Genomic DNA, 27768 nt, shown 5'->3' on the forward strand with positions numbered 1-27768 from the left:
TCTAAGGCACTTATCACCCTTGAAAAACGATACAGTGTGTTTACTTGCTTATTTCTGGTCTCCTGTCCACTCCATTCCCCTCCTGCCATGCCCCCACCCCCTCCCCCAGCTAGACAAGCCTCATGAGAGCAGGGGTTATTGTCTGCTTTAATCACTGCTGCATCCACAGCACCCAGACTAGAACAGTACCTGGTACATAGCTCACATTTCAAAAATATTTGCCAAAAATAAAACAGTAAAAGTTGAATGGAGAATGGAAATGTTAATCCATATTTTAGATTTCTGTATCCTCTACTGCAAAGTTTACTTAAAAATAATAGGTTTGAGATAATTAATTATTGTTTATTTTCATGCATGTATTTCAAACTTTTTAAGCTTCTGTGGTCTGTCAAACCACTAGAGGTCCCATGAAGAAATACATTGAATGATAATATGAGTTGGGAAAATTGGGAGTACCTCTAAAGAACGAACACAATTTTCTTTTACATTCATATTCAAAATATGGCTTTTGCCTCATGAGTGATTATAATTCCTACATACAAAATCTTGGTGTCAAATCCTGTATTAAATATGGGATTCAGGCTGGGCACCGTGGCTCATACCTGTAATTCCAGCACTTTGGGAGGCAGAGGTGGGCAGATCACTTGAGACCAGGAGTTTGAGACCAGCCTGGCCAACATGGTGAAACCTCGTCTCTACTAAAAAATATATAAAAATTAGCCGGGTGTGATGGCATGCTCCTGTAATCCCAGCTACTTGGGAGGCTGAGACATGAGAATTGCTCGAACCCAGGAGGTGGAGGTTGCAGTGAGCAGAGATCGTGCCACTGCACTCCAGCCAGAGCGCAAGAGCGAGACCGTCTTAAAACAAAACAAAACAAAAAAACAAAACCCCCCCAAAAACATGGGACTCATCAAAAAAAACAATTACAACCCATAATGCTCTGAGAAAGCCAAGTAAATTATTAGCTTTTTACCTACAAAACTCTTCTGGTAATCTGAAGTATTCTTTTTAATCTTCAAAATTTTAATTTTGTACCAACAGTAGGAAGATCTTTTTGGGAAATCACATCTTTGTGGGGGTCACACTCAGGCTAACATCTCAGTCATAAGACTGATGTTGGGACATCATTTAACTTTCTTGGGCTTCAGTTTCCTTATCTATAAAATCACAACTGTAATTATGGGATTTCCATGAAGATTAAATGATACACTGTTACAAAAGCCCCAGCATAGAAGATGGTCATTTTCCTTCCTTCCTTGCTCTTTTTTTCTTTCTTGTTCAACCACATTCCTTACTTCCCTTAATTGTGACTGCCATTCCTGCCTCACACGGAAGCCATGCCCTCAAAGGTTTCTAGCAGCTTCTTCATTTTTCAATTCCAACTATCTCTGCTGAATTCTCATTCAAACTGATATCTCTGCAGTAATTTCCTCTGATGACCATGCCCTCCGTCCTGAAAGACTCTTTGCCCTAGGTGTTGTAATGCTTTTTTCTCCTGCTTCTCCTTCTCCTTCTCTGACATCTTTTCAGTTCCTAGGCTGATCTTTTTCTTCTATCTCCAGATCCGTGCTTTCTAATATGTAGGCCCCAGTTACATGTGGCTGTTAACCACCTGAGACATGACTAGTCGAATTAAGATGTGCTGTAAGTGTAAAATACACATGGGATTTCAAAGATGTAGTACAAATATAAGAATAGAAAATGTCCCTTTAATAAGTGTTATATTGATCAAATGTCAAAGTGATAAAATTTTGGAGACTTGTGTTAAACAGACTGTATTATAATAATTTCTTTAGTTTCTGTTTCTACCCCTTTTACTGTGGTGTCTAGAAAATTTAAAATGACAGATGTGGCTCACATTTTATTTCTATTGGAAAGCAATGTTCTGAAGAATTCTTTATTTTTCTCCTCTCACTTTTCACGCTATCCTTTAGCAAGACCATCAGCTTACATTGCTGTACTCTTGTCTCTGTGTTGTTTACTCTCGTCTACATTTCTTTTTCTTTCTTTCTTTTTTTTTTTTGAGATGGAGTCTTGCTCTGCTGCCCAGGCTGGAGTGCAGTGGCGCAATCTCGGCTCACTGCAAGCCCCGCCTCCGGGGTTTATGGCAGTCTCCTGCCTCAGCCTCCTGAGTAGCTGGGACTACAGGCACCTGCCACCACGCCCAGCTAATTTTTTTGTATTTTCAGTAGAGATGGGGTTTCACCATGTTAGCCAGGATGGTCTCGATCTCCTGACCTCATGATCCACCCGCCTTGGCCTCCCAAAGTGTTGGGATTACAGGCGTGAGCCACCGCACCCAGCCTTATGTCCACATTTCTAACCCTCGCCTCTCTCTGAACCTCCAGGGCAGAATTTCTAAGTGCCTCTACATAAATGCTCTGCCAAATTCAGTGCATCCTACTCTTCCCGATAAATACCTGTTAGGTATTTAAATTGAAAAGTACTTCCTCTTCTTTAGACAATGGCATCCTATCAATGGCATAGACTGGAACCCCTGTAGAATATTCTGGAATACTTCCTCTCTCTTGTAGCCTCTCATATAGGTAAGGGTTCTCACAGCCAACACCGGAAATCTATTCTGGCTAATTTTAACAGGAAAGAGATATATTAAAGGTATTAGAGAGCTCACAGATCCAGAGAACTGGGCTTCGATGCTCTGTAGCTGGGAAGGGTAACAGTACTTGTTCATACTGTGGGGTGGGCTCCATGAAAGGCTTGCCACTGATGTTCACAGCCAATGCCAGAGCTCATACTAATGCTGTGTAGTTAGCTCCCAAAATGCTGAGGTGGAAGCTCTTCCACTGCTGGCCCATGAGATTCCACACCTGACAGGACAATTGTTGTCCTGCCTTGCTGCTTCCTCATGATGCTCAATTTGAAACAAAGCCTTGCTTACATGCATTTATCTGACTGGCAAACCCTAGGCAACAGACTTGTATTTTATCTGCAAGGACTGCTGAAAGACAGTTTTCTGGTTCCCTTATAAGGTTGCACATTTCCAAAACGTAAGAAACATGTTGGGCAAGTATACCTGACAAATTTGTACCACATTCCACATTCATTAATCACGTCCTGTTTTCCCAAATTCCTTGTATTTGTCCTTTCCTTTGCACTTCTCTCCCCATAGCCTGGTCCAGCCTTTTGCTGGGATTACTTCAAAAGCTTCCTAAATGGTTTTTTTTTTTAATTTACATTTTATTTTATATTTATTCACTTTTTTCATTATCCATACGTCACCTTGCTAGCCAATCTTCACGTTGCAATTAACATGTATAGTGAAACATGGGTTAGAGCATGCCTCTAATCTCACGAAAATAATTCTACAACTCCTGATTGCCTACACACACAAAAATTAAATGTTTTAACATGCTATTCAAAACACTCAAGGATATGGACTTCAGTATATTTTCAGTCTCCTTTTAAACTAGATTCCTCACTCACCTTCATGTCTTTTGCTAGTCAGTCCTTTAATACATTTAGAATTCATTACTAGACTACTAGTATTGCTAAGAATTTATACTAGACTACATAGCACAGTTTTGAGTAAGACTCTCATTAGTGTTGCTCCCCAACTGAGGGAGTTTGGACACTCTGCTTAGCCTCTCTCAGATTCAATTTCCTCACAGCAAAGTGAAGTCACCACAACCTTGCAAGCTTCCTGTGTCGATGATTGTCAAATGTGCATAACATGGGGCATGAACCTGGCACTTAGCAAGTGCCCCATAAAAGGATGCCATTGATAGTGCTCTTAGGATTGTGTGGCTGTGCTCCTGATAATTTTTCCACTTCCAGGAATGCCTTCACCACATCTCTCCCTGCCCTGGAATCCAGCCTATCCTTCACAGCACTCCTCCAATTTTAACCTCTTTATGAACACTCCAGTCAGGAAACACAAGGTTCCTTCCTGTCTAATGCCACAGCAGGGTATCTATTCATGTAGTTATTTAGCACACACTTTTTTTTTCTTTTTTTTTTTTTGAGATGGAGTCTTGCTCTGTCACCCAGGCTGGAGTGCAGTGGCGCGATCTCGGCTTACTGCAACCTCCGCCTCCTGGGTTTGAGAGATTCTCCTGCCTCAGCCTCCTGAGTAGCTGGGATTACAGGCACGTGTCACCATGCCCGGCTAATTTTCGTATTTTTAGTAGAGACAGGGTTTCTCCATGTTGCTCAGGCTGGTCTCGAACTTCTGACCTTGTGATCTGCCTACCTCGGCCTCCCAAAGTGCTGGGATTACAGGCGTGAGCCACCACGCCCGGCCACTTTATTTTCTTTTGTTAGTTTATTGTCTATCTGGCTGGCATTCCAATTTGGTATCTAGATTGCCTAATTCAGTGCATGGTATACAGTTAATGCTCAATCATTATTTACTAAGCTTAACTTACTTTTTTCTGGATAGGATCTCTCTATATTCTGCATATGTGTTATGGATGCTTTTATTATAGAAAAACAATAATATAGAGCTTGCTTTTATTTTCTATTAACATGTGCAATTTTAAGTCAAGTCACTCATCACTGGGTTCAAATAGTCCATTTATCACGGGATAGTCATGGAAATTCTAGAGCTGTTTTTACTTTCCCTCAGAGACTTCAGACAGAATAAGAAATAAAAGCATTATTGGTAAATCTGAGGCACAATAAATAAACAAGTGTTTACTCAGAATTCCAATTAAGCTTATGACCTTCATATACGCCTTTGTCCCCACAGAACATTTTTCTAGCCATACAGGCCTCCTTGTGGTCCTCAAAACTGCCAGTTTTGTCTTTACTTAAGTATCTTTGCACTTGCTATTGTCTTTGCCTTGAACTCCCTTACCTCATTTCTTCATGAAGGTCACCTATGCTTGCCCAAATACCATTACTCAGAAAGTTTTTTGTTGACCACACACTAAAAGAAGTTCTTTATCTCCCACTTGCTCCATCTCTACATTGCCTTATTTCTTTTCTCCATGGTACATAATCAATGCTTTAAGTTTCACTATATTTACTTATGGCATGAATGAATAAGCCCTGAAAATGTAGTTGGAAACGTACAGCAATAGAGCAAAGGTAGCCTCATTCAATAACGGAAGGGAGCAATGATGCCCTATTTTCCGCTTGAACATGGCTGGTCGTGAATGTGCTGGCTACCACAGAGTTCTCACTGCCTTTGATGTGGTGTCTCTGAGAGAGCATGATAATGCTTTTCATCCTTCTCATGGCTACCTCTTTTGGCATTAAGTCATTCAGTTACTCTTTAGTGACTGTACCAGGAAGAGGATAGAAATAGCAAGAGGAGAAATCAAAAGAGCCAGTGTCGATACTCTATGAGAAAGAGTTGGGGCAAAAATTTGGCAAAAAATTTGATTATTAAATTATCCAATTGTAGATGTAATATTTCCCAAGGTGTTCCTATTTACTCGCTAATATGTATCATTTTGAATTGACTGTAGACTCCTTACATATAAATATATCATATTTTAAAGTAATCTTTTGAAGAGAAATGTTACATTGTATTATTTAGAAATAACTGGAGTTTCCTTCAAGAAAATATTTGTTTTCTAAATTAATGCTTAATAATAATAATATGATTCATAATCTACAAAATATACTACTATATGGAAATTGAAACAGTAATTTTTCTCTCAATAATTAGAATAACATAGATTCACATGAACAGCTTTATGGCTGATGTTCATTTCCTAGAAATCTAGTGAAATGTGTCTGATAAATACATCTTTCACCACGAGCCAGAACGAAAAACAAAACAAAAAAAATTACAATAGCTTTTCCTGTTTCCTAAGATATTCAACCTACCGTGAAATCAATGTTTTAAAGTCCTATAGCAAATAGAGGAATAAAATGTGATGCAATTCGAGACTTTCTTAACAGAAATAATTTAGTAGATTGCAATTTAACTAAAATAGTGAGAAACTGACAATTTCTCATTTAATTTTCCTCAATTTTTAATCTAAAAGGAAAAAAAGACAAATATTCTCTAGTAAAATATTTAAATTACCAGATGAAAGTATTAAAGTATTTATTAGGTGACACATAATACAATTTGAAACAAAAACAGAGTACGAATGCACCCACCTGAGCACTGAGAACACTCTGGCCATTTTGCCTATTGCTCGGATCTTGTTCCTTATCACCTCTTTCCGGGCTGCAGCTGTTGCACCTGTATTTTCAAACAGAGTTCAGTGGTCAGTAATTTTTTATCTAATTGTAATTGATTTTACACATTTACACATACAACAGACTCCAGTAAGCAAAATCAGTATTTTTTTTTTTTCCCCCTTAAGAGGATTTATCTGTAAATCAAATTTGAAAATTTAAGCTTTTGGCCACCAATACTAGGATGTGATTTTTGAGAGGTCCCCATAGTGCCAAAGAAAAACTTTCGAGATATCCAGAGGGGAGGTGAGTAAGAAGCTAACTGGAAAATCACTGAGCAGAGAGGGGTAGGTTCCTATCCTCCTCTTCCAATTGACTTTCCCCTTCTTTTCTATTTATACAGAGACCACGCATTGGGAGGAAGAGTTAAGTACCTTATCACCATCTTCTATTCATTTGCAGTCTCCATGCTGGGAAAACTACTTTAGGAAACTGCTTTTCCAAAAGTTCTCCTTTGATGTGATTAAACTAAGAAGTCTCTTAATTCCCTATCTGCCTTGCAACATCATTCATAATTATTTGATGATGATTGTTTGAGTACTTGATACTCTTTCATCTTCTGGTTGGTTCATGAGTTCTAGAGAAAAGAGTAGAGAACTGCTAAATTGGATTTAGTAAGAGACAATGGCACCATGGTTTGCATTTTAGTACTATTTTTGAAAGTTATGCATGGTTTTTCTGGGTAAGTCTTACCACTTGTTACATTTTCTAAATTAAAAAAATTAATTACATAGATTATTGTTACAAATAAACATATTATTTTAAAATAATGTTTTAAAGTAATACTTCAATGAGCCCATTTTATTTTTTCTTTTAATTCCCGAGGTACATTGGAAGAAGTATAAAACAGAAAAAATACCTCACAAATTTTTTTTTTTTTTTTTTTTTTTGAGACAGAGTCTCGCTCTGTCACCCAGGCTGGAGTGTAGTGGTGCGATTTCGGCTCACTGCAACCTCTGCCTCCCAGGTTCAAGTGATTTTCCTGCCTCAGCCTCCCAAGTAGCTGGCACAGGCATGTGCCACCAGGCCCAGCTAACTTTTTTTGTATTTTTAGTAGAGACAGGCTTCACCAGGTTGGTCAGGCTGGTCTCAAGCTCCTGACCTCAAATGACCTGCCTGCCTCAGCCTCCCAAAGTGCTGGGATTACAAGTGTGAGCCACCGCACCTGGTCAAGATTTTTATAATCCAAGGTAAAATGGATAAGCTATCCTTTTTATTCATTATGTGGGATTTTATAGAAAGCATTAACACAAGCAGATCGTCTAATTCTACTGCCTCTAATAGATATACAACAGAATATTCTTTTCAAATAATAACAGAAATGTTCCTAATCCAAATGAACAGTTTGAGTCAAGTAATTTGCTCAGGGACGGTAGTCTATAGATGATAACTGGTATGTGTTTTGGTCTTTTATTATAATTTGTGGTAACAGCAAGCTTTCACAGAAGGGTTTTGAAAAAAAGATTTCTACTGTTTCCCTTAGAGGGCTTTTATGAACACCATTTCTAATCTATTTGATTGTGTGGATCAATTAATATGCCAACATTTCCATGAGAAAGAAAACTTGTACAACACACACAATTTTGAAATGGCTAGAAAAAAGGTCTTTGCTTTTTTTTTTTTTTTTTTTTGCCCTCCACTCCAAGAAAGTGAAAACATATGGGTCACTTTCTTTGCCTGGGTGGGTAATCTTTCAGAGGTGATGCTAACACAAACCCATCTCATAGGTGCATGGGTGTTCCCCAGAGGGTGTGTGAAAACCAGCAAGCTGGTTTCCTCCCACCTTCCCTCTGCCCTGAAAACAGCCTACATTTGTGTCCATTTCTTCCTCTCTTGTGGCAACTATGCCATGGCAGGCACCTTTCAACATATCCAATGGGAAGGACTTATTATTGCCAGCTATTCTACCTGCAAATGGGTGGAATAAGTGTCTATCCATGTGGGAGACAGCTGTTCTCAGATCTAGCTGTTCTGATAATTAAGCAAAACCATGGGTTCTCATTCACTGTAAGTTCCTTGAATTATTAATTAGTCTCTCGGTCAGAACACTGGGGAGGAAAATAGGGTGTGTGCAGGATCCCTACCTCTAATCGTATTCTGATTTTGTAAACAATATTAATTATCTATGATTTGTAATTAAGATTATACATCAAATTCTGCTCTGGAGACCATCTAAAATTGAATTCTCTGTGCTTGGATTTTAGATGATTAATGAACAAGAGACCATGAAAAGACTTTTTCTTTTTTTTTTTTTTTTTTTAAAGTGGGATGGCAAATAGTCCCCTTAGGGTGGTCTTCCTATACATGTATATATATATTTCAGTTATTCCATTCAATGATGCTTTCAGTCTAACATTGTCCTATTACTACTCTATGTTTAAAATTCCCTACCTCAACTGACCTGTGAACTCAGGGGTCATGATGTGCTGAGTAAGGGAAAATATTCTGGCTCTCTCCAATAAACAATATGGCCAGATCATGAAATCAATTCAATGAACACAAAGAATGGAAACTGGGAGAGCTCCAAAACTGGTCACTATATTTAGAAGCACAACAAGAAAAGCAGCATAGGAGTGGCTAAGACGTCTAAAAATAAAACTTCATGTATTTAAGTGAGGTGAGAGGAGGAACATATAAAATCAAATAAGTAAAAAATATATATGAAGAATAATCTCACAGAAGATTTCTGATAAAAAACTTGTAAAAATCATAACTACAGCAATGAAAAGTAAGAAACTATGCTGGAAAAGGAGGGAAATAAATTATGTAAAGCTGTGCTTCTTAGCTTGGTATAAGCTGATGATCAGAAAAATGCTCAAATACATACTAAATTTTAAATGTAAAATGAACATTCTCACAGTGAGTATACTATTCCTTATATTTTCAGATAAAATGAATGATTAGAGAGCATATAAAAGATATTCTACTTTATGTATATGTAGTTGTGCTCCCCATAAATAGTGAATCACAACACACTCTAGCACTTTTCTTAATTAAAAAAAAAAAAAAACTCTCCTTTTCAAATTTCTCGGCCGGGCGCAGTGGCTCACGCCTGTAATCCCAGCACTTTGGGAGACTGAGGTGGGCGGATCACGAGGTTGGGAGATCGAGACCATCCTGGCTAACGTGGTGAAACCCCGTCTCTACTAAAAATACAAAAAAATTAGCTGGGTGTGGTGGCACATGCCTGTATTCCCAGCTACTCAGGAGGCTAAGGCAGGAGAATCGGTTGAACCTGGGAGGCAGAGGTTGCGGTGAGCCGAGATTGTGCCATTGCACTCCAGCCTGGGCAACAAGAGTGAAACTCCATGTCAAAAAAAAAAATTTCTCAATAACCCAGATAAGGAGTTTTATTATCCCTCTTATAAAACTGAAATATATTTACACAAAAAGTAAAATAACCTGACCATGGACAGTAAGAAGAGACATTAAACTATTCTCTAAATGTTTTATCCTGAAAAGTACCTTCAATCTTTTCCATATAATCAAAATCAAAATTAGCTCTAACCACACATATATAATCTCACAAAGATTTATAATACTGAAATAAAATATGTGGATTGATGTGTAATTCAGTGTAAAGGAGCTGAACAACAGCAGGAGAGAATTAAGTTCAGATGTAAATGTTCTGGTATACTATACTTAGTATTGCTATTCCAGGTTTTCGGTATTTTCCAGAGATCATTAAAACTCTTTTTCAAAAACTTATTTCATTCCAAATCCTCACAGTCCATAATTAAACAGAAAGATCAAGAATAAGTACATGTTTTTCAGAATTTTACTACCTGCAACATGCAAAGATAATGTCATATTAAACATTCTTGGTACTGTTCTGTTTAAGTTGTGAAAATGTACCACAGTAGCTCAAATTAAAATTCAGTATATTAAATAATGAAGACACATAAAATACCTTTTAAATGAAAACTGTGGTGATTTCTTTCCACTTAAAAAAACATATAATCACTTATTTCAACTTGGAAGTCCAAAACTGAAAGGTAGTATTTCATATGTTAGAAAAAATAGTAATTTTAAGTAAAATTTCATTTTGTTTCAAATAATAATCACTTCTTTTTTTGGCCTCTCCTTTCACCTTTTTAAGTTCTGATCTTCTTTTATGCCTAGGGTATCATGTTACTATTTCCAGAATCTAAGCAACCCTGAAAACTCAATTTTTCCTCAACATGGGGGAGGCTAGTACACAGACCAAGGGGATCTTTAAAGATTTGCTTTTAATACATATCCTTCTTGCCCTTAACTTAGCACCTTGCTAACTTCTCATGAAGTTTTAAGATATCTATGGCAAATGGCCTTCTAAGTGACTGTTGCAACGCCACAGGGTAGATTTCAGCCTTAGAAAGGAACTGGAAAAAGGCATTTGCACCACAGATAGTGGGGGCAAGTGCTTGGCTGAAGAGAGATTCTTACCACCTGGGGTATCTGCCACACATAACAGATGTTGGCTCTGACTTCCAGCTCAGTTACCACTGTGGAGCTACTACTGTGAATTCTTCAGTTACACCTGAATTAGTAGTGTGCAGAAAGTGTTATGTAGAGTACAAATTACCATCCAAATCATTCCTTCATCAAATATTCTTGTGACTCCTTTACTATACAGCCTGCCATGTGCTAGCAATAGAAATATGAATGAGGCATTGCCTCTGCTTTCAGAGATCACATGAACAACAACAATAGACCGTGACAAATATTATATTGAAAGTAGCAGTGGTACACTGGAGCTGGCTTCTGTCAGCTGGTAAGAGGATATTGAGTGTATTCCTTCTTAACTCCATGGTCAGTAATGTTGGTAGCTTCAAATCAGCTGTAGGGGAAACATTTATACCATGAAAATCTGCAAATGCTACAAACCGGGGCCATTTTCCCTGGGAGGACAGGTGCAAACTGCTTGCAGGTACAAGAAAAACTTTTCAGTGAAATGGTGACAGTCAAGGATCTTGAAGGATAAATAAACGCCAAAAAGAAAGAAGAATGACATTCTCCATAGAGATTTTTTAAATGTGTAAAGGCAGCAAAACTCCACATTATGGTCAGATGATGGGTAAGAAGTTTGATGTGAATGAAGTTTGAGTAAACGCGGAAGATGGTAGGGTGGGAAAGAAGCAGGAAATGCCTGGTCTAACCTGTAAAGGCTTTAGCATAGTAGTACATGCAAACAAGAAGTTTAGATATTAGCATGTATGCAACAGAGTTAAATAAAACTTACTTTGCCAGATACCAAAAAAGAAAGAAATGGTTAGATTGCTGAATGAGTAGAGACAGACATGTGATAAAGCAAATATAGTCAATTATTAGCTATAGAAAGTTAAGTGATGAGTATCTAAGTATAAACTATACAGTTCTTCAAACTTTCCTGTATGTTTAAAATATTTTGTAATAAAATGTCAAAAAATGAAACTATACTTGGAAGAAATTTGGTTTTGTGGGGAAAGAAAAATAGCAGCTTTGGGGAGAGAAGTCTCTATGTCCTGCCCTGCCCTTCCTTTATGTAACAGGGGAGGATGCATGAGCTTGCTGAAAAAGGCAATGAAGACTTCTCACTGGAGTTACATTCTCCCCATCTCTCTTCTCCACCAAATCCAGAAGAAAACTGAACTGGCGGGATTTTGTTTTAAAAGTCTAATCCAACAGATTCTTATTAGTTTCAACACATTTTTACAACTGTAAGAAATAAAAACGACCAGTTTGAAAAAATTATACTTAAATATCTTCTGAAAAGAAATATTTTTACGTTAGAATGTGAAAAAGCTGCTTTTAAAAATTGTTATTGTTATTGAGTTGTATTTTATTTGATAGAAACACTAGCAGACCTTTCCCAATTGATCATTATATCGGCCATGAGCTTTTTGTTATCATTTAGGCTTCTTTCTTTACAGGACGTATAACTAATGCAAGTGTATCCACAGCATATGTATTTAAATGAAATATATATAAAAAGTATATTTATACTAAAATTTTTTGTGTGTTTTAAAAGGAAAGATATATCTTTAAAATTATATTTTGCTGGTAGACTTCAAATGTTTTGAAACATTTAATCCAAATTCTGAGAAAATTTTTTTTACCACTCACCACTTCCAAATTTGTTAAAACTTGACAAAGTTCATTCCTATTCTACTTGAAAGTAAAATTTTTATCATGGGTCAATATTATTAAACAGAGTTTCAATGTTCCTTCAGATTTTATTTTTTGCCAAACAGAGCAATTACTGAATTTGAATAAAACCTCTTGATGAAATGAAGCATAAGGTATTGAGATAATTAGTATCTTTTGTTGTGCTATATTAAAGATAAAAATGGGTTTTGTGTCCATCCAAAATCAGCACCTTTGAAATAGAAGATATAATGCATAAGACAGAACAGACTTCAGATACCTCTAAGAAACTTGTGTAATTGGTCTTTATAGCTTTTTACAGATGACGAAAATTATGAATATAAAGACTGTCTTCTTTGGGAAAATACATGTCCAACAGTTGAAGTAATCCCTAAACCTTATCTTGTCTTTTTCTTTCCTGACCTAACTTAACAATAACAAACCTTGAGCTCTTATATCCCAGCAAAGGGATGTTATGCAGAAGTTACTTTAGATATCCACCCAGTTTTGCTGTTGGCTATGAATTGTGACAAGTGCTTCAGTACATTGTCCTACACCACCAGGCGCTTGAGTCCTAGATTTAAAAAAAGCACCATAAGCAATGGATAATTGTTTACTCTGATGGAATGGCTTCAAAATTGTAGCCTTTATAATTTTTAGTCATGTAGCTACAAAATAATATCCCCAAAGAATACTATTCCCATTCCATGTTTAAATAGTTGTAAATAATGTTGTAAACATTATGAGATTAAAATGAAATGGCTATATTACTCTGTTACCAATGGCATATAAATATCACAGCAATTTGAGTCCCACTATCATTCACTTAGAGAAAAGTCCGTGAATAAAATCCTCATTGATATTTAGAAATCTTATATTATTCTTTTTTTCTTTGAAATTGAGTTCCACTTTAAATTTCCCCAATTTTACTCCAGTGCATTATAAACTTTAAAATATATACATGTTTTAAATTAGACAGGATCTCTCCATGTGGCCCAGGCTGGACTAGGACTCCTGGGCTCAAGTGATCCTACCGCCTCAGTCTCCCCAGTGAGGTTACAGGTATGCTAAACTTTAAAATATTTTTGTCACTACATTATATGTTATATTTAGAGATTTAACTAAATTTTAGAAATTTCCTGAGGTGATGGGTCCTAAGTGTTCAAAAATTCCTTTGGAATAAATAATATAATTATTATTATAGATAGTTCACAATTATCAACTCTTTAGTTCCTAACTGAGATAGAGAGCACTAACATATGATAATTATTCATAAATATTAAAATGCACAGAAATAAAATTTTATTGGAATGCATCTCTTTAATGATAAAGAGGGGAGGGAAATTACATTGCTCCCTTGATTAAGGAGACTTCCTAGACACTAAGTTTTCCAATGTCTCTTTTTGTGTGTGCCCCAGAGGTTTTTATAGCTCAAGGAAATGTTCATAGTGACTATGTCTAAGGAGACCTGTGCCTTTCTGTTAAAATGGAAAAAGGGCATTTGAGAAAGAGGAGGCGGGAAAGGAGAAGCTGCGATAAGGCCTCCAGCCAAGGTGCCTTCTCAGGCTGATCACTTTTAAGAAAATAAGACTTATGGTGGCTGAGGATGTGAAAATGGATTCCTTTTAACTCCTCTTGAAATGTCTTATGGTAATCGCGACAGTACAAATATTCCAGCCTGAAGACTGCTGTTCTATCAAGAATTAGATTACTCTATTTCTAGAGTTGACAGCTATTGGAAGAACTCCTTAACTAGCCATAAACCTGGGAATCCTGCACTGTTCTTCTACTTAGGGTCAGTGCAGTCAATGTGAATCCAGAGATTGTTTGCTTTCTCTCACCAAAAAAAAAAAAAAAAAAAAAAAAAAGCCATATGTATGCCTATATAAGTTACTATTTTGGGCAAAAGAGAAACACATTCAAGACAACAAGTGAAAAAAATCCTGGTAAAAATTCATCTTTTTGAAGATTACAAACTAAAATATTTAGAATATCTTTCTAATATGGATCCTAACTCTATTACCTATCCTTCCCATAGGTGATAAAATTGGGACATAATAGCCACTCACTCCAAATCACTCTAAAGCAAATATTCTGAATTTCTTCCATATGTTTTTTTAACTTGACTACAATCTCAGTATATATTAAGAGCCTGCAATGAATGGTGTGATATTTGGCATAAGGCTATTCTGTCTTACAACCCACTTTGAAAGCAACAGAAGAGCCTTTAAAATGTAATTTTTTTTAAAAAAGTTTCTCCTGTGTAATGGATTTTAAGGGTGTAACGGATTTTAAGTGTTCAATGGATTTTAAGGAAGGCCAGAAGAGCCTAAATTTTTCTCCACCTCTCTTGTCATAAAACATAACCAAATTCTTTGGATAGGAAGTCTTAAAAATGGACAGACTACACTCAAATGCCCAATAACTGTCATTATTTGGTTATTTTCTGTTTAATTATAAGTCACTTTCACTTCCAAACTCTAATTGGATTCCATGCACTTTTGTTCTCTAAGATGTTGTGTTCCGTCTGTTTAATGACTCCTTGGTTGAGTCGCAGAAGCTGACTATAAGCAGAATTCTAACTGGGTGAAAATGAAAGACTTTACAGTAGATTAGGAACTTTCCATTGATTTTTCAAGAAACGGTCACATATTCAGCTCATGCCTTACAGAGGATATTGCTCCCCCTGCCTTTGTTTTTTAATATTTACCAAGGAAGCAATTAAGAGCCATAAAATCTGATTTGGCTCAACCCCTTTATCGTGACAAAAACACATCAATTTTATAAAGTAATAACAGAAAATAAAAACAAAAAGGAATAAATCTAAATTTAATAATATCAATTTATTATCTAAAAGGGAAGCAGTCATAATGCCTGGATGTCTAATCAAAGATTGCTCTTGACATGGATGAGGATATAACTGTTTAATAGGATTTACTGAGGACATAATTGTGCATACGTGATAAGTGCTGGAAGAATGCATTCAGACTGGAACTTAATTCTGGGCCCATATGGATTTATACATTTATCAAATACTAGAATGACATTTACATGTTATCTCTGCATGATAACATGTAACAAAGTGAAGGGAGAAAACAAACAAACATATTAAATATTACATTTGATTGTCTCATATGTTTTACCCTAGATAAAAAGTTAATTTGAGTACCACTTGACAGCATAATAAAAAGCAGACGGAAAGAAGTAATACAACTCCTTCATCTGACCGTGGAGAATGGCTGAGGCACTGGCATCTAATGAGCTTATCTGAAAGAAGTCATTCAAAGGTCTTTTGCTATTCACAATTCAGGCACGGTGTTTTGTTACTTCGTGGGAGATGTAGTAAAGTTTTGCCCAAGAAGGAGAAGTAGAGAAAACAAGCACTAGGTTCTGGCCAGTGACCCATGCACAGGCAACTTCAGAAAGTAGATGGTCCCCAAGTCATGAGACTTTAACATCACTTAAATATATTATTATAAATATATTATTATCTTATCAGGAGAACGGATGTGCTAGTTGAAAATGTGTTGGTTTGCAACAGACGCATAGTAAAGTAGAGCAGCTGAGGCAAACATTTGAAATGTTCTGGGAAGTACTGTCCATGGGCCAAATGGCTGTGAGGTGCTCTGGTCCTACTGCAAAGCTTCAGATCACAAATACTTGGCTTCTCCACTTCTCTTAAGACATATAACTAAATTGGCATTTGAAAGCCAGAATAGAACAGAGGTAAAGAACTTGTGCCTAGAATAAAAGACCTTGGTCTAAGTCCCAGCACTATCATTTACCAGCTGTGCTACCTTGGGCAAGTATTAAGTCTCTTTAAGGCTCACTTTCCTTATCTATAAAGTGAGGCATGTTCTAAATGCATTATTTCCATATAATCCTCGCAACAACCACATGGAGATGGTACTGCTAGTCTCTATTTGACAGAGAATAATTCTAAGGAACAAAACATTATTCGCCTAAGGTCTTTAGCTAGAGGTGATTCAGAACAAGGATTCATTACAGTACCAGCTGACTGACCTACTTCACTCGTGGTGGCAGAGTTAAATAAGTAATGTGCTCATTCATTCTCAACATTCAAAAAATAAATGTGCCAGTCAGGGTGCTACCTGCTAATGCACGTAAAACAGAACTTTGGTATATGGGAAGTATTGTAAAATGCTTGGTATTATTAAGAAGAAACCCTTGTGCAGATATGAACATTCCAGTTTTTCAAACAGTTAGATTTCTCTCTGTAAATTAAATGATGTATTATGTGATCTTGGTGAATATCAAGCTGCCCTGAGATGTGGCCTCATTTATGTTTTGTGCCAGCCAGGCTAAAGGCTGGACCCCAGATTATGGCAAACACACTTGGAGACAATGAGAGCAGCCAGGATGCTGCTGGCTTTGCAGTCAGAACAAAATAGACCACTCCAAAAAGATGCGGTTGATAAAATAGAAACTACATTTCTATTTCTACAGAGTTCTGAGACAAAACGGGAGGACAGCTTTTATATCTTCTCATGAGCTAAGAATAAAGAGGAAAAAATTAAACAGATTTCTAGAAGAATGAAAATAGGAAAATCTCAGAGAGAAATACTTTTAAAATTTAAATTTTGTGGACATTTATTGAACTTTTAAGTACAGCCTTTACACCTGCCATAAGAGATAAGTTACTCTAAAAAGAATGTTTTAGAAACTGTGGACTCACAACTCTCTTGCAGTTGTTCCATCAGTTATCAATTACTCTAATAAAAGTACAATCTTCAAGTTAAGAACCTGAATCCATTAATGCTTTAGTACAAAGAGAATCAGAAAAGCTCTGCCAGAAAAGTTTGAAAAATAAAGTTTATTTTCTTTTGGTATTAGTTTTCAGCTAGTTAACATTACTTACTACAGGCCTTTCTACAAAGAATGCCTCTTTCACATGCCAATTATCTCAACCCTGTTTGCGAGAAGTAAAGTGTTCTAAAATACAGAGATTCTTTGCTTTCACTGAGAGAGCTCTCTATTTCAATGCCTTTCAAATAAAGAATGCATTAAGGTTTATAGGGCCACATGTTTACTTCCCTTATGCAACATGGTTTGCTTTCTCGAATAAATTTTATAAATCCATTTATGCTTAGATATGCAATAGCTAATGTTTAGTATAAGTTGGCTAATGTCACCACTAGTTGAATAAAAACTAATGCTATAAAAATCATTTCTTTCAAAAGCTGTATAAAATATATATTATACATGCATATAATACTGCATGTTGAAATACAGTGTAAAATCTGGAGTATTTTTTGTAATATTACCTTACTGTGAGTATAATATGCTGGCCAATGGTGGACATTATCCAGCCAATTAGCTGCAACAGGGATATGGCTGTTTTTTTAACATTTAGTTTATTCTGCAAATTACGAGCTTCCATGCAATGTGAAAATTATGCCAGATAATTAAGAAACACATTTGTGCAATCATAGTAGTACAATATGAAGAAAAGGCAGTACTTCTGATACCTATATTACTGCACCATTTTAATTGCTAAATTAAAACGATTTTAATAATTGTGACCAAAGATAAAAGGCCAGATTTGATGAAACTAATTAAAGTATGATAGCTAACCAGGTAAAAGCTTATTTGATAGTCAAGGCTTCAAAATGTCAATAGCCCTAAATACGATAAGAATCATACCAAACTACATCTAATAAATGCCCATGTGTTTTTCAGACATCTTTTAGTTTTAATGATATACTAGCTATAACAAGGTGTCTTCTTTTTAAGATGAAAGCATAATGAAACAAGCAGTTTTCTGTATTTTATAAAGGGTATATTCTGTACTTTATAAAGGGTATAAGAAATAAATAATAAACTTATAAAGACAAACGATTTAGCTTTTAAATTAGACACAAAAATATTAGGCAACTGAAAACAAACAAAAAAACCAACAATAAACTGGGAAAACAATAAAAAAAAAGCCTGAGAAGAATTTAGTCTTTTAAAAATATTAAATAACCTACCTTTTTACACATCTTTCTTTCCCTGTACCCTAATTACATCAGGCAAACTCAGTTATTATAAAAATATAAGAGATGTCAAAACTGGTAAACGGATGTCCACCCTTGCATATAATTTCCTTGAAAAAATAATATGGACTTATCACATGGCCACATTTTCTAAAACATCAAAATTCATAAAAGTTTATTTTTTGGCTTTTCAGAAGTAGAAAAAGAAAGATGTCCCCCATGTTCTTCCTTTAGTTATTCAATATTTTATCCCAATTCCTGCTGCCTCCCCTAAACACCTATATCCTGTGACTAGCATGTTTAAACACCTATATCCTCTGCATGACTAGCATGTTTAAAACTGGTTTAATTCTTATTCTACTTGACTCCAAGATCAATGAAGGCAGGGACCATATGTGTTCTGTTCATCACTGAATATATGGTAAAATATATTATGTCAATATTTGCTTTTAATGAATACACAGAAATAAAAATATGTAAAGTAAAAACAATGTGATATTAGAATAGGGCACACTGAATTTTATTTTAGTGTTTTCCTTTTGTCAATGATTTCAATTTTACGTGCCACTGTAAAAATCAAATAAATTTTGCTATTCATCTCTTTCAACAATCTGATGTCTGATAGCCAAAGTTATGGTCCTAATTCTGGCCAGACTTATATCTCATATTAATTTTTCTGCACTGGGTGCAAATATTTTTAAGTAGCTGTTGCCTGAACTGCTACACAAACCTGGTTCTTGTGCTCTGTCATCACTCCTATTTTCTCCTTCTTTCATCTCCAGCTTTAACAGTGCAGGCTAATTTTAAAAATCAGTCCTTAATTTTGTGAGATTTTATTCTAAGTCAGCAACTTGGAGGCCTATTTCACTCTTAATAAATTCAGTTATTACTTAATCCTATGCCTCTGTCACTAGCCCCAATTTCTTTCTCAATTTCTAGGACTCCTTTTCCAAATCCTGCTTGGGCATTTCTAGAATTACACGTCAGTTTTACTCAAACTCCTGCCTGTAACAGAACTCATCTTTCTCCTGGAGGTGGTGACTTTTTCCATAAATGTTATTATCCCTCCTATGCCCCTAGGTTTGAACCGTCAAACTCAGCTTTTGTTTCCTTTGCCCCTCTGTCTAAGACCTGTTGATTCTACGTCATAAGTCCTCGGAAAGGTCTTTTGAACGGTTCCTTTTAAATGTTTTTCTTAACAATATTTTTGTTCAGATCTTGTCACTGCAACTTCAAGATACTTTATTAAGTTCCTAAATTATATCCCTACTCATCCTTTGTTCATTTTCCAAGCATTTATCTAAGCTTGAAAAAGTTTTTGCCTTTTCTCAAATACTGTTTTTATTATGTTATTCCTTGACTTACTAACTTTAGGTTAGGCTTCAATGTTGACAGAACAAGAATCTTATCACCACTGTGTTCCTCAGAGCATATTTTCTTTTGTATATCTAAATGGGTTTTTTTTCTATTTTTTATATTAAAGATTAATATATTCCCCCTAAACTGTACAGGCTATAACATCATTTTTTTAGATGAGGAAGCTGAAATATAGGATGCTAAAATGAGTTGCTCAGAAATAAAAATCACAGCACAAAAAAAGCTCCAAGCTAATGGCTCTTAGTATATGTGCTGCTAAATGCACAAAGTGATGGGACTTTCTAAGGTTAAATCTTTAAACTTAATTTATTAATTCCATTTAGATTTTTAAATTAACCAAACCCATTTAGATTCTGTGACTATTTGAAAGTAATGATTTGGGGGTAATTCCTTTATGCTTGGGGTGCCAAGGCATTTCTACAAAGGAATTACTAGTGCCAAACGCTTTTTGCTAGGTCAAACATTCATCATGGCAAATAAATACAGTTTTGGTAGAAAATAATATATTCATACCCTTAGAAAAGTATTCCTCAAGGACCAGTAAGATACAACATTAGTCACACTAATTCCCAACTTTGCACTTTAAGTTCTGTACAACTGTTAACAGCTAGACAGAAATAGGTAGGGAGACACTCTGGAACCTGTGGTATTAGATACGAAGAATTATCTAATTCAAGGCAGACTATGGAAGATAATTTTCTGGTATAGGACATAGATGGTTTCATAGAGGCATGCAAAAAGCTACTCTGATTCCATATTCACTTGCTTATGGTTAACATTAGGATAAGGCAAAAATGTTGACAAAGGATAAGAGTTCTACCATGTGGTTTGCTCTTTAGATAAAAGCAGACACATAAATTCTAATTTAATATTAAGTCTTTCCAGTGCAGCCTGAAACTATATTTGGCTTGAAATGTATTCACTTTATTATTTTTTCTTTCCTTTCTCATTCTACAGGGCTTCAGTTTAACTTCCACAGTTTTTTCTGGTGAGTGAGACTTATCACATATCACAGTCTCAAACATAATTTGTATTATTTAAAAAAGTGATCTCAGTGCCTATGATTTTAGGACCTAAAAGACAGTCCCAGATAAATAACTATTCCTAACTTACAAAACTATCACTAGGTTGCTAATGCTTACTGTTTCTCCAGACTTCCTTATTATAATAATGAACAATAAAGAAACTCTTGTAATGAAGGTTGATTTCTGTTAGCTCTACTTTGGAATCACTTACTAAACCTTGGTCTGAAATGAGCCTTCTTCATTAATGAGCATTATCTGCCAAATGAGATACCTTTACTTGGATTTCTTTTTTCTCTAAAGTGTTCCAGTGAATAACAACCCTAAATTGAAACCAGACTATCATTTTAACATTCGAAATAAGAAGTGGAAACAGGAAACAAAGACCCTATTACATATAAATTAGATCATCAAAAGACATTCATTGGCATTAAACTGCTTCCAAACTTTACAAGATAACAGAAGTTTTAAATTTTATTTTCAACATAGAAGACCAGAGGCCAATTTAAAACAGCAATCTTTTTCCAGACAGCCTATCAAATTCCTTTATTTATAAGACAGAAGCTAACGAAGAGAGAATCATGACATGGTTTCCTATCCAGAAGCCTGTGTGAGCCAGAAGACTTTTTGTCTGCTCAGATACACCTAAATTTTTTACAAGATGAAACACATTTCTTCTTAGCCTATGTTAAAATAATAGAATGATATTGTTTCATATGCATTGACTTTCATGGCCAAATAATACTGCAAAATCTATTTCTTCATTTCATAGAATATTTTTATTTTACAGTATACTTATATATTGTTATATTTATATTTTATTTTACAGTATATTTAACAGAACAAATTAAAGCATATTATATTTGTGTTATATTTATATTTTATTTTACAGTATATTTAACAGAACAAATTAAAGCATATTATATTTGCTTATTAGTGTTTTTTGTTTGTTTTAAAAAAATCATCACACTGAATGAACAAGATTTCAAACATTGTAACCACATGTGGTGGGAAGTTTAAGAGCCTGACAACCAAGCAGACATTAGTTGAATCCAGGCTCTGTTGCACTTTACTAGCTGGATGAACTTAGGTTTTCAACTTACTGAGTCTGGATCACTTTATATGTAAAATAAGGATAATAATAGTACCTATATCAATAGGCTGTTTTGAGGATGAAAGATAATACATAAATTGCCTAGTAAACTTAACATAAAGGACAGTTAATAATAACAAATCTTTTGTTGGCCAGAAGGTAAAATGAGTAAATTAAAGAACTAAGCTTGATCCCTAACACGTAAGTGTTAGCTGCTGTCACTAACATCATCATTAAATAGTAAACAGGAGTTGACAGATTCTGAAGGAAATGAGGAGCATCTCTAAATTGCTATAGGCGCATCTCTAAATTGCTATAGGCACTACAGACACTAAAAAGTCAAGCTGATAAGATAAAAGACAGTCATGGACTGTAGAGTAACTATTATTACCTTTGACTTTCCCACTGACATTGGAAATGGAATGAAATATTGAGAAGGGCTTGATAAATGACTCATGAAGGGATAGCCCACTTAAAATAAGCAACAATTTAAGGAAGACTTTTATTTAAGTCTTTGGATGTCTTCTGATTTCTGCTTTGCCTTTTCAGGCAACAAATAAGGAGCCTGGCAAGCAGCAGGAGAGAGCCAGCCCCATAAGGGAGACAGGCTACAGGCTGCAGGCAGGAAGGACAGGGTGCCGCAATTGGAAATTTTATCCTAAGGTTGGAAATAATGTTACCAAAAAAAAAAAAAAAACAACTCACTTCAATATACGTTGTCAATAAACAGTATTCCCAAAGAAAACCAAGGATTTCTGAGAAGCTTTACAAATTATTCTTTGAGCATCTTTAAGCACCCTAACCCTAACCCTTTGAGGAAATCCAGTTTTGATGTCATGTTACATTAAATGCTAGGACTCCTGATTGCTTATACTGAAATATATAATATCTTAAGTAGAATATACTTTTTTTTTTTTTTGAATCAGTCTCACTGTGTCACCCAGGTTGGAGTGCACTGGTGCAATCACGGCTCACTGCAACCTCTGTCTCCCGGGTTCAAGCGATTCTTGTGCCTCAGCCTTCCAAGTAGCTAGGAATACGGATGTGCACCACCATGCCCACCTATTTTTTTTGTATCTTTAGTAGAGACAAGGTTTTGCCATGTTGGCCAGGCTAGTCTCCAACTCCTGACCTCAAGTGATCTGCCGGCCTTGGCCTCCCAAAGTGCTGGGATTATAGGCATGAGCCACTGCACCCAGCAAGATATACTTTTAATTAAAACTTAAAACTTTCATTTCTGTATTTCTTCTTAAATGGCAAATTTATGAGATATGAACTAAAAGGTCACATTTAGAAGTCACAGTTACAAAATGAGGACAGCATCTATTAACATTAACTTTGACACATTTCGGACTCCGATCTCTAAAGTCCTCAATGTTCACACTGAACATGATCTTAAACTTGCATCTAGAAAAGTGTGGGCAGACAATACCACACTAATGCTGGCCCGGCAGTTTCCAAATTCAATGGAGAGGCATTCAGCATTCTCCTATTATCACCCTGTTTAGAAAGGAGAAAACTATTCAAAAAGGGTAAATGTAGAACCTAATATGTTTTTCCCAAAGCACCAGCTTCTTCTCAATCATAACCTATCGTGAATGCATAATGTATACAATGCCTCTCCTTGTTGAATTTAATTTCTCTTTTTCAATTCCTCTGGGCTCTTTTTCTATGAAATTTGAATCTGATGCTGCTCATGGAACCAAGGCCTGCACTGCTATCATATGCTGGCAAAGCCCAATCAGGCAGAAGGATCTTTTCTTTTCACCTCTCCTCATCTCTTTCTTCCTCCTCCTCTCATATGTACATATACAAAAGAAATAAAACATAAGATTAGATGATTGTTTCTCTTTAGTTTGACTAAGGGAAATACACCAACAAATTTTAAATAAGATGGAGAAAAAAGGTAGAAAAAACACCCACATACTACTGGTTAAGTGAGGTCCATGAGACAGGAAACCAAGGAAATTAAATTGTCTATCCCTAAAAATTATATAGCAATAATCTTATCTCTTTCTGCTAGCTCCCAATCTGATAAGTTATAGACACATAGGACTTTTAATATGCATTGAATACTTTAATTAGCCTGTGTGTAAATTTTGCTTAAAATTTTGAAAACACAAATCTTATTGTTAATATAGCTAAGCAGAAATAAATTAAAGCAGAAGAAACTGTTCAGAAAGATAAATAACTTAATGATGTTTAACTTGACAGGAATGGACCACTGAAGGAAGTTGACAAAAGTGAGAGATAAAGCTCATCTTTTCTAGCTGGTAAGAGCAGGTTAGGCATTCCTGACCATCTTCCTCCCTGCACCTGGTAGGACAAAATTTCTCTGCAGGACTGACTTAAAACTTAAAGAGTGGTAAAGGGGGAATTCAGGGGTCTGCTTAGAAAGAAAAAAATTCTTCCAAGGACCTTAAGACAAACATGCACTCCTACAATTGGAATTAAAACAGAGTTTAAAAAGCAATTGGTGGTGAGCACAGCACATTGATTAGAACTAATTATTTTAAAATAAAGTAACTGACAAAACAAATCCTTTCATGTAAGTAATTGAGATGGTGAGTAAAGGGAACTTACTAGAAGTGAAGTAAGCACAGGGTTAGTCTTGGTAATGTTGGTAACTGTGCAGGAATAACATGTACCAGTGAAATGTGCAGTCATTTTGGCTATGGTACCTGGTACTTAGTAGATACTGAATATATATTTGCTGAGTGAATGGATTAACATAAAAATTACAAACATATGTAGGTCTACACATTCTTATTCTCTACAGTATGTTACATTTTTGTTCTCTATATCATAAATACTGGCCAGTGGACTTTGCAAAAAACAAACATTTATTAATAGGGGATTATTATTGTATTAATGTTAATCTTTCTTTTAAAGAATAAAAGGAATATAGTGAAAGGTACATACTGAAAAACGTTTGTTGATGTTTATGATTTAGGTTCCATTTGGTTAGTATTCTTTTAGGAAAAAATTTCTGCCATTCTGAAAACAGTGCTATCATTTAAAAGATAACAGTAGCAAACTGTGGCTATAACATATGAAACATCTAGAATTTAGATAAAGCACAAAATGTCCATTGATCTCTTGCATATTTCAAAATATGCCAATATATTTAAGTTCTTATATATTCTTAATTTTAGCCCAGTAAAGTTGTTTTTTAAATATATCCATTTTCCCCTTTCCTTCCCTATGTTGCACATCTCCTTGCGATGTGGTATATGACTCAAAAATAGTATATGAAGACAAGTAATAAAGACAAGAGAAGTTATAGAGGAGAAAAACTATGAGATGTTAAAAATAAATCTCATACATTAAATTTACCTGAGTATATAGACTCTATTTACATGAGTGTATGAACAGGTTTATTATACTTTTGCCTGCAGCATTAGGTATTTTGCATTTATACCCATGACCTGTATCAAGCCCAGGTAAACATTAAATCATGTCATTTGGAAACCAACTTTTAGAAAGGACCACATTCTCTTTTCATTTTACTGAACTGCAGTTTTTAAAGGTATACATTTTATCCATTTAAACTCACCATAATATCTAGTTTCCCTTGCCCTCTTCACCCTTTATTTATAATTTGTGTCATTTTATTGATATTATTAGTTTATGCATCAGTCTCTCCAACCAGTTTGCAACTTCTTCAAAGAATAGGTTTTTAATGCATCTTGTAGCCCTGGGTGTCCTGAATCTAGGACCTCTGAGTATACTTTAATCTCCAGACTACTTAACAATACTGAACACAATGTCAATGCTATGTAGATAGTTGTTAAACTGTATTATTTACGGAAAAATGACAAGGAAAAAAAGTCTGTATGTGTTCAGTATAGATGCAACTTTTTCTTGAATTATTTTCAATCTGAGGTTGTTTGAATCCATGGATGCAGAACCCTCAGATACGGAGGGCTGACTGTACTGCTTTTATTTTTGAGATGGGATCTTGCTCTGTCACCCAGGCTGGAGTACTGTGGTATGACCATGGCTCACTGCAGTCTCAACCTCCTGGGCTCAAGATTTCCTCCCACTTTAGCCTTCTGAGTAGCTAGGACCACAATCATGCACCACCACACATGGCTAATTTTTTGTAGAGATGAATTCTCCCTAGGTTTCCCAGGCTGGTCTCAAAATCCTGGTCTCAAGTGATCTGCCTCAGCCTATCAAAGTGCTAGGAACCACTGCACCCGGCCTCAACTGTACTTCTTAAATGCAGTAAAGTTTGCTCTTATGCTTTTCTTCTCTAAGTACATTTTTGTCAGTTTCCATTCATTTTGAGGTGCTTTTGTAAGACTCAGGGTAATTTTCCCCTTCATCTTTAACTTCATGGATCTGTGCCTCTTGCAGAAAAAGCATACCCTTTGAGGGTAATTAAACACCAAGTAATATCTTAAAAAACATAAAAAACTCCTCACAGTTTATTCATTACCTATTACTACAGAAAGAAGAAATATTGGGATTGAAATAAATACCAATATATCAATATGTAAATGCCTTTTTCATCATAAACATCAAAACTTGAATAATTGATGTGAGCAACCCCATTAGAGGACATTTTTAAATTGCCTGGTAAAAGAAAAAATAATTGTCCAGTAATTGGTAACATCTGTTAGAAAATAAAGGATTAAATTTGTATCAAAAAGCCAAAAAAGGTCACTTAGCAATGTGAGCTACTGAAAGCTTATTAAAACAGTTTACTACTTTAACAATGTTTTTAAAGTAATGAGAAAATTCTCATGATATTTGTTTCTTATACTTTTAAAAAGTAAACAGAAAATGAAATCATATCTTTTATTCTCAATAATGTTACGTTTTAAACATAATCCAAATCTTAGAAATTTATTCTTAGATTTAGCAATGAGACTCTAAGTAATTATCTGGCAAATAGCATTAGCACAAAGGCTCAAGCCTCTTACCATCAAATCCATCTTCTTCTGACCCTAGTTCATCATCTGAGCAGATGTTGAGGACATTTACCAGCATCTCAGTCACTAAAGAGAGAAAGCAAAGAAAGAAAAGTCAGGGTTTTCTGTTATAACCTTAACTATTACTCTGGCATTGTTAATGAGCAAACTTAGCAATAACATTTCTTATTTAGTTTGTATATAGAAGCAGTTTCAGTAAACATCCAGATCATAAAAGACAGCCTTTGTGATTCTATGCAGACTTTATGAAACTATTAGCTGATGCTTATGATATCTAATGGTAACATTTACTAGCTCTAGGTCAATAGACAATGACAAATCAAATATGTGGATGTGAATATACTACAAATCAATGAAAGAGAAAATAGTTTTTTTGAATTTTTATTAGTCACACAATGATAAGGCTTAATCTAGATCAGATTACAAACTTCTGTTCAGTAGGGACTAAGAATGATGATTTTTCTTATATTTTTAATCACCTAGAGAACTTCACGCCATTATAGGCATGTGGTTTTGTGTTTAATACAAACTGTTGATTGATAAACTAATATATTTGAAGTATTTTTCAGAATACTAATTTTAAAAATGTATTGACAGAAATATCATTAAATTTGATTTTCAAAAATGCTTAAAAAATTAAACAGTTGCAGTTTAATCAGAAATTTACTTAATAGATTACAATAGGATTACATAAAAGTGTTGTACAGAGGAAATTAGTACTGCATTATTTTTATACTATAAACCATGCTATTTACATTTAATATTTTTTGAAATTAGATTGGATTCTACCATGCATGTGAAAAGAAGCCTGTCTACTGCTTCTTTGAGAGCTACTTTTTAAAGTAATATGCTATTTAAAAAAATGTCCTTCTAGAATTGAAGATGAATGATAGAGAGTCAAACTTCAATAGAGCCAACACTGATCCAGAGTTTCAGTTTAATTATCAAAACTGGATTTTGTGTACCAATAGATTAATATGTTAATTTCTAATAAATGTCCCAAATTTTAATAATTAATAGAAACAACCCAAATAAAGGATGTTCAAAAGGTGCCCCATAGTTGTCAGCATCCACAC

The 27768-nt window shown here is 35.2% G+C and overlaps 1 protein-coding gene across 3 annotated transcripts in view, besides 1 other annotated feature; it reads right to left on the reverse strand.

Annotated features, from left to right (window-relative positions):
• PPP3CA (protein phosphatase 3 catalytic subunit alpha) overlaps positions 1-27768 on the reverse strand; it is a 324109-nt gene that overhangs the window by 10986 nt on the left and 285355 nt on the right. For all 3 annotated transcript variants that reach the window (NM_001130692.2, NM_001130691.2, NM_000944.5), the window contains 2 exons: positions 26684-26758; positions 6079-6163 (listed from right to left, as the gene is read on the reverse strand). In NM_001130692.2, the coding sequence (NP_001124164.1) occupies positions 6079-6163; positions 26684-26758 (160 nt within the window). The remainder of the gene's footprint in view (positions 1-6078; positions 6164-26683; positions 26759-27768) is intronic.
• Positions 6277-6896: an enhancer, noted in NCBI's record as "OCT4-NANOG hESC enhancer chr4:101961837-101962456 (GRCh37/hg19 assembly coordinates)". NCBI's record gives its function as "activates a minimal SCP1, AML or CMV promoter by ChIP-STARR-seq in naive and primed H9 embryonic stem cells {active_cell/tissue: H9 hESC(naive and primed)}" and the evidence as "EXISTENCE:reporter gene assay evidence [ECO:0000049][PMID:30033119]".

This window comes from Homo sapiens, chromosome 4 (assembly GCF_000001405.40).
Source record: "Homo sapiens chromosome 4, GRCh38.p14 Primary Assembly".
Classification (NCBI taxonomy): domain Eukaryota; kingdom Metazoa; phylum Chordata; class Mammalia; order Primates; family Hominidae; genus Homo; species Homo sapiens.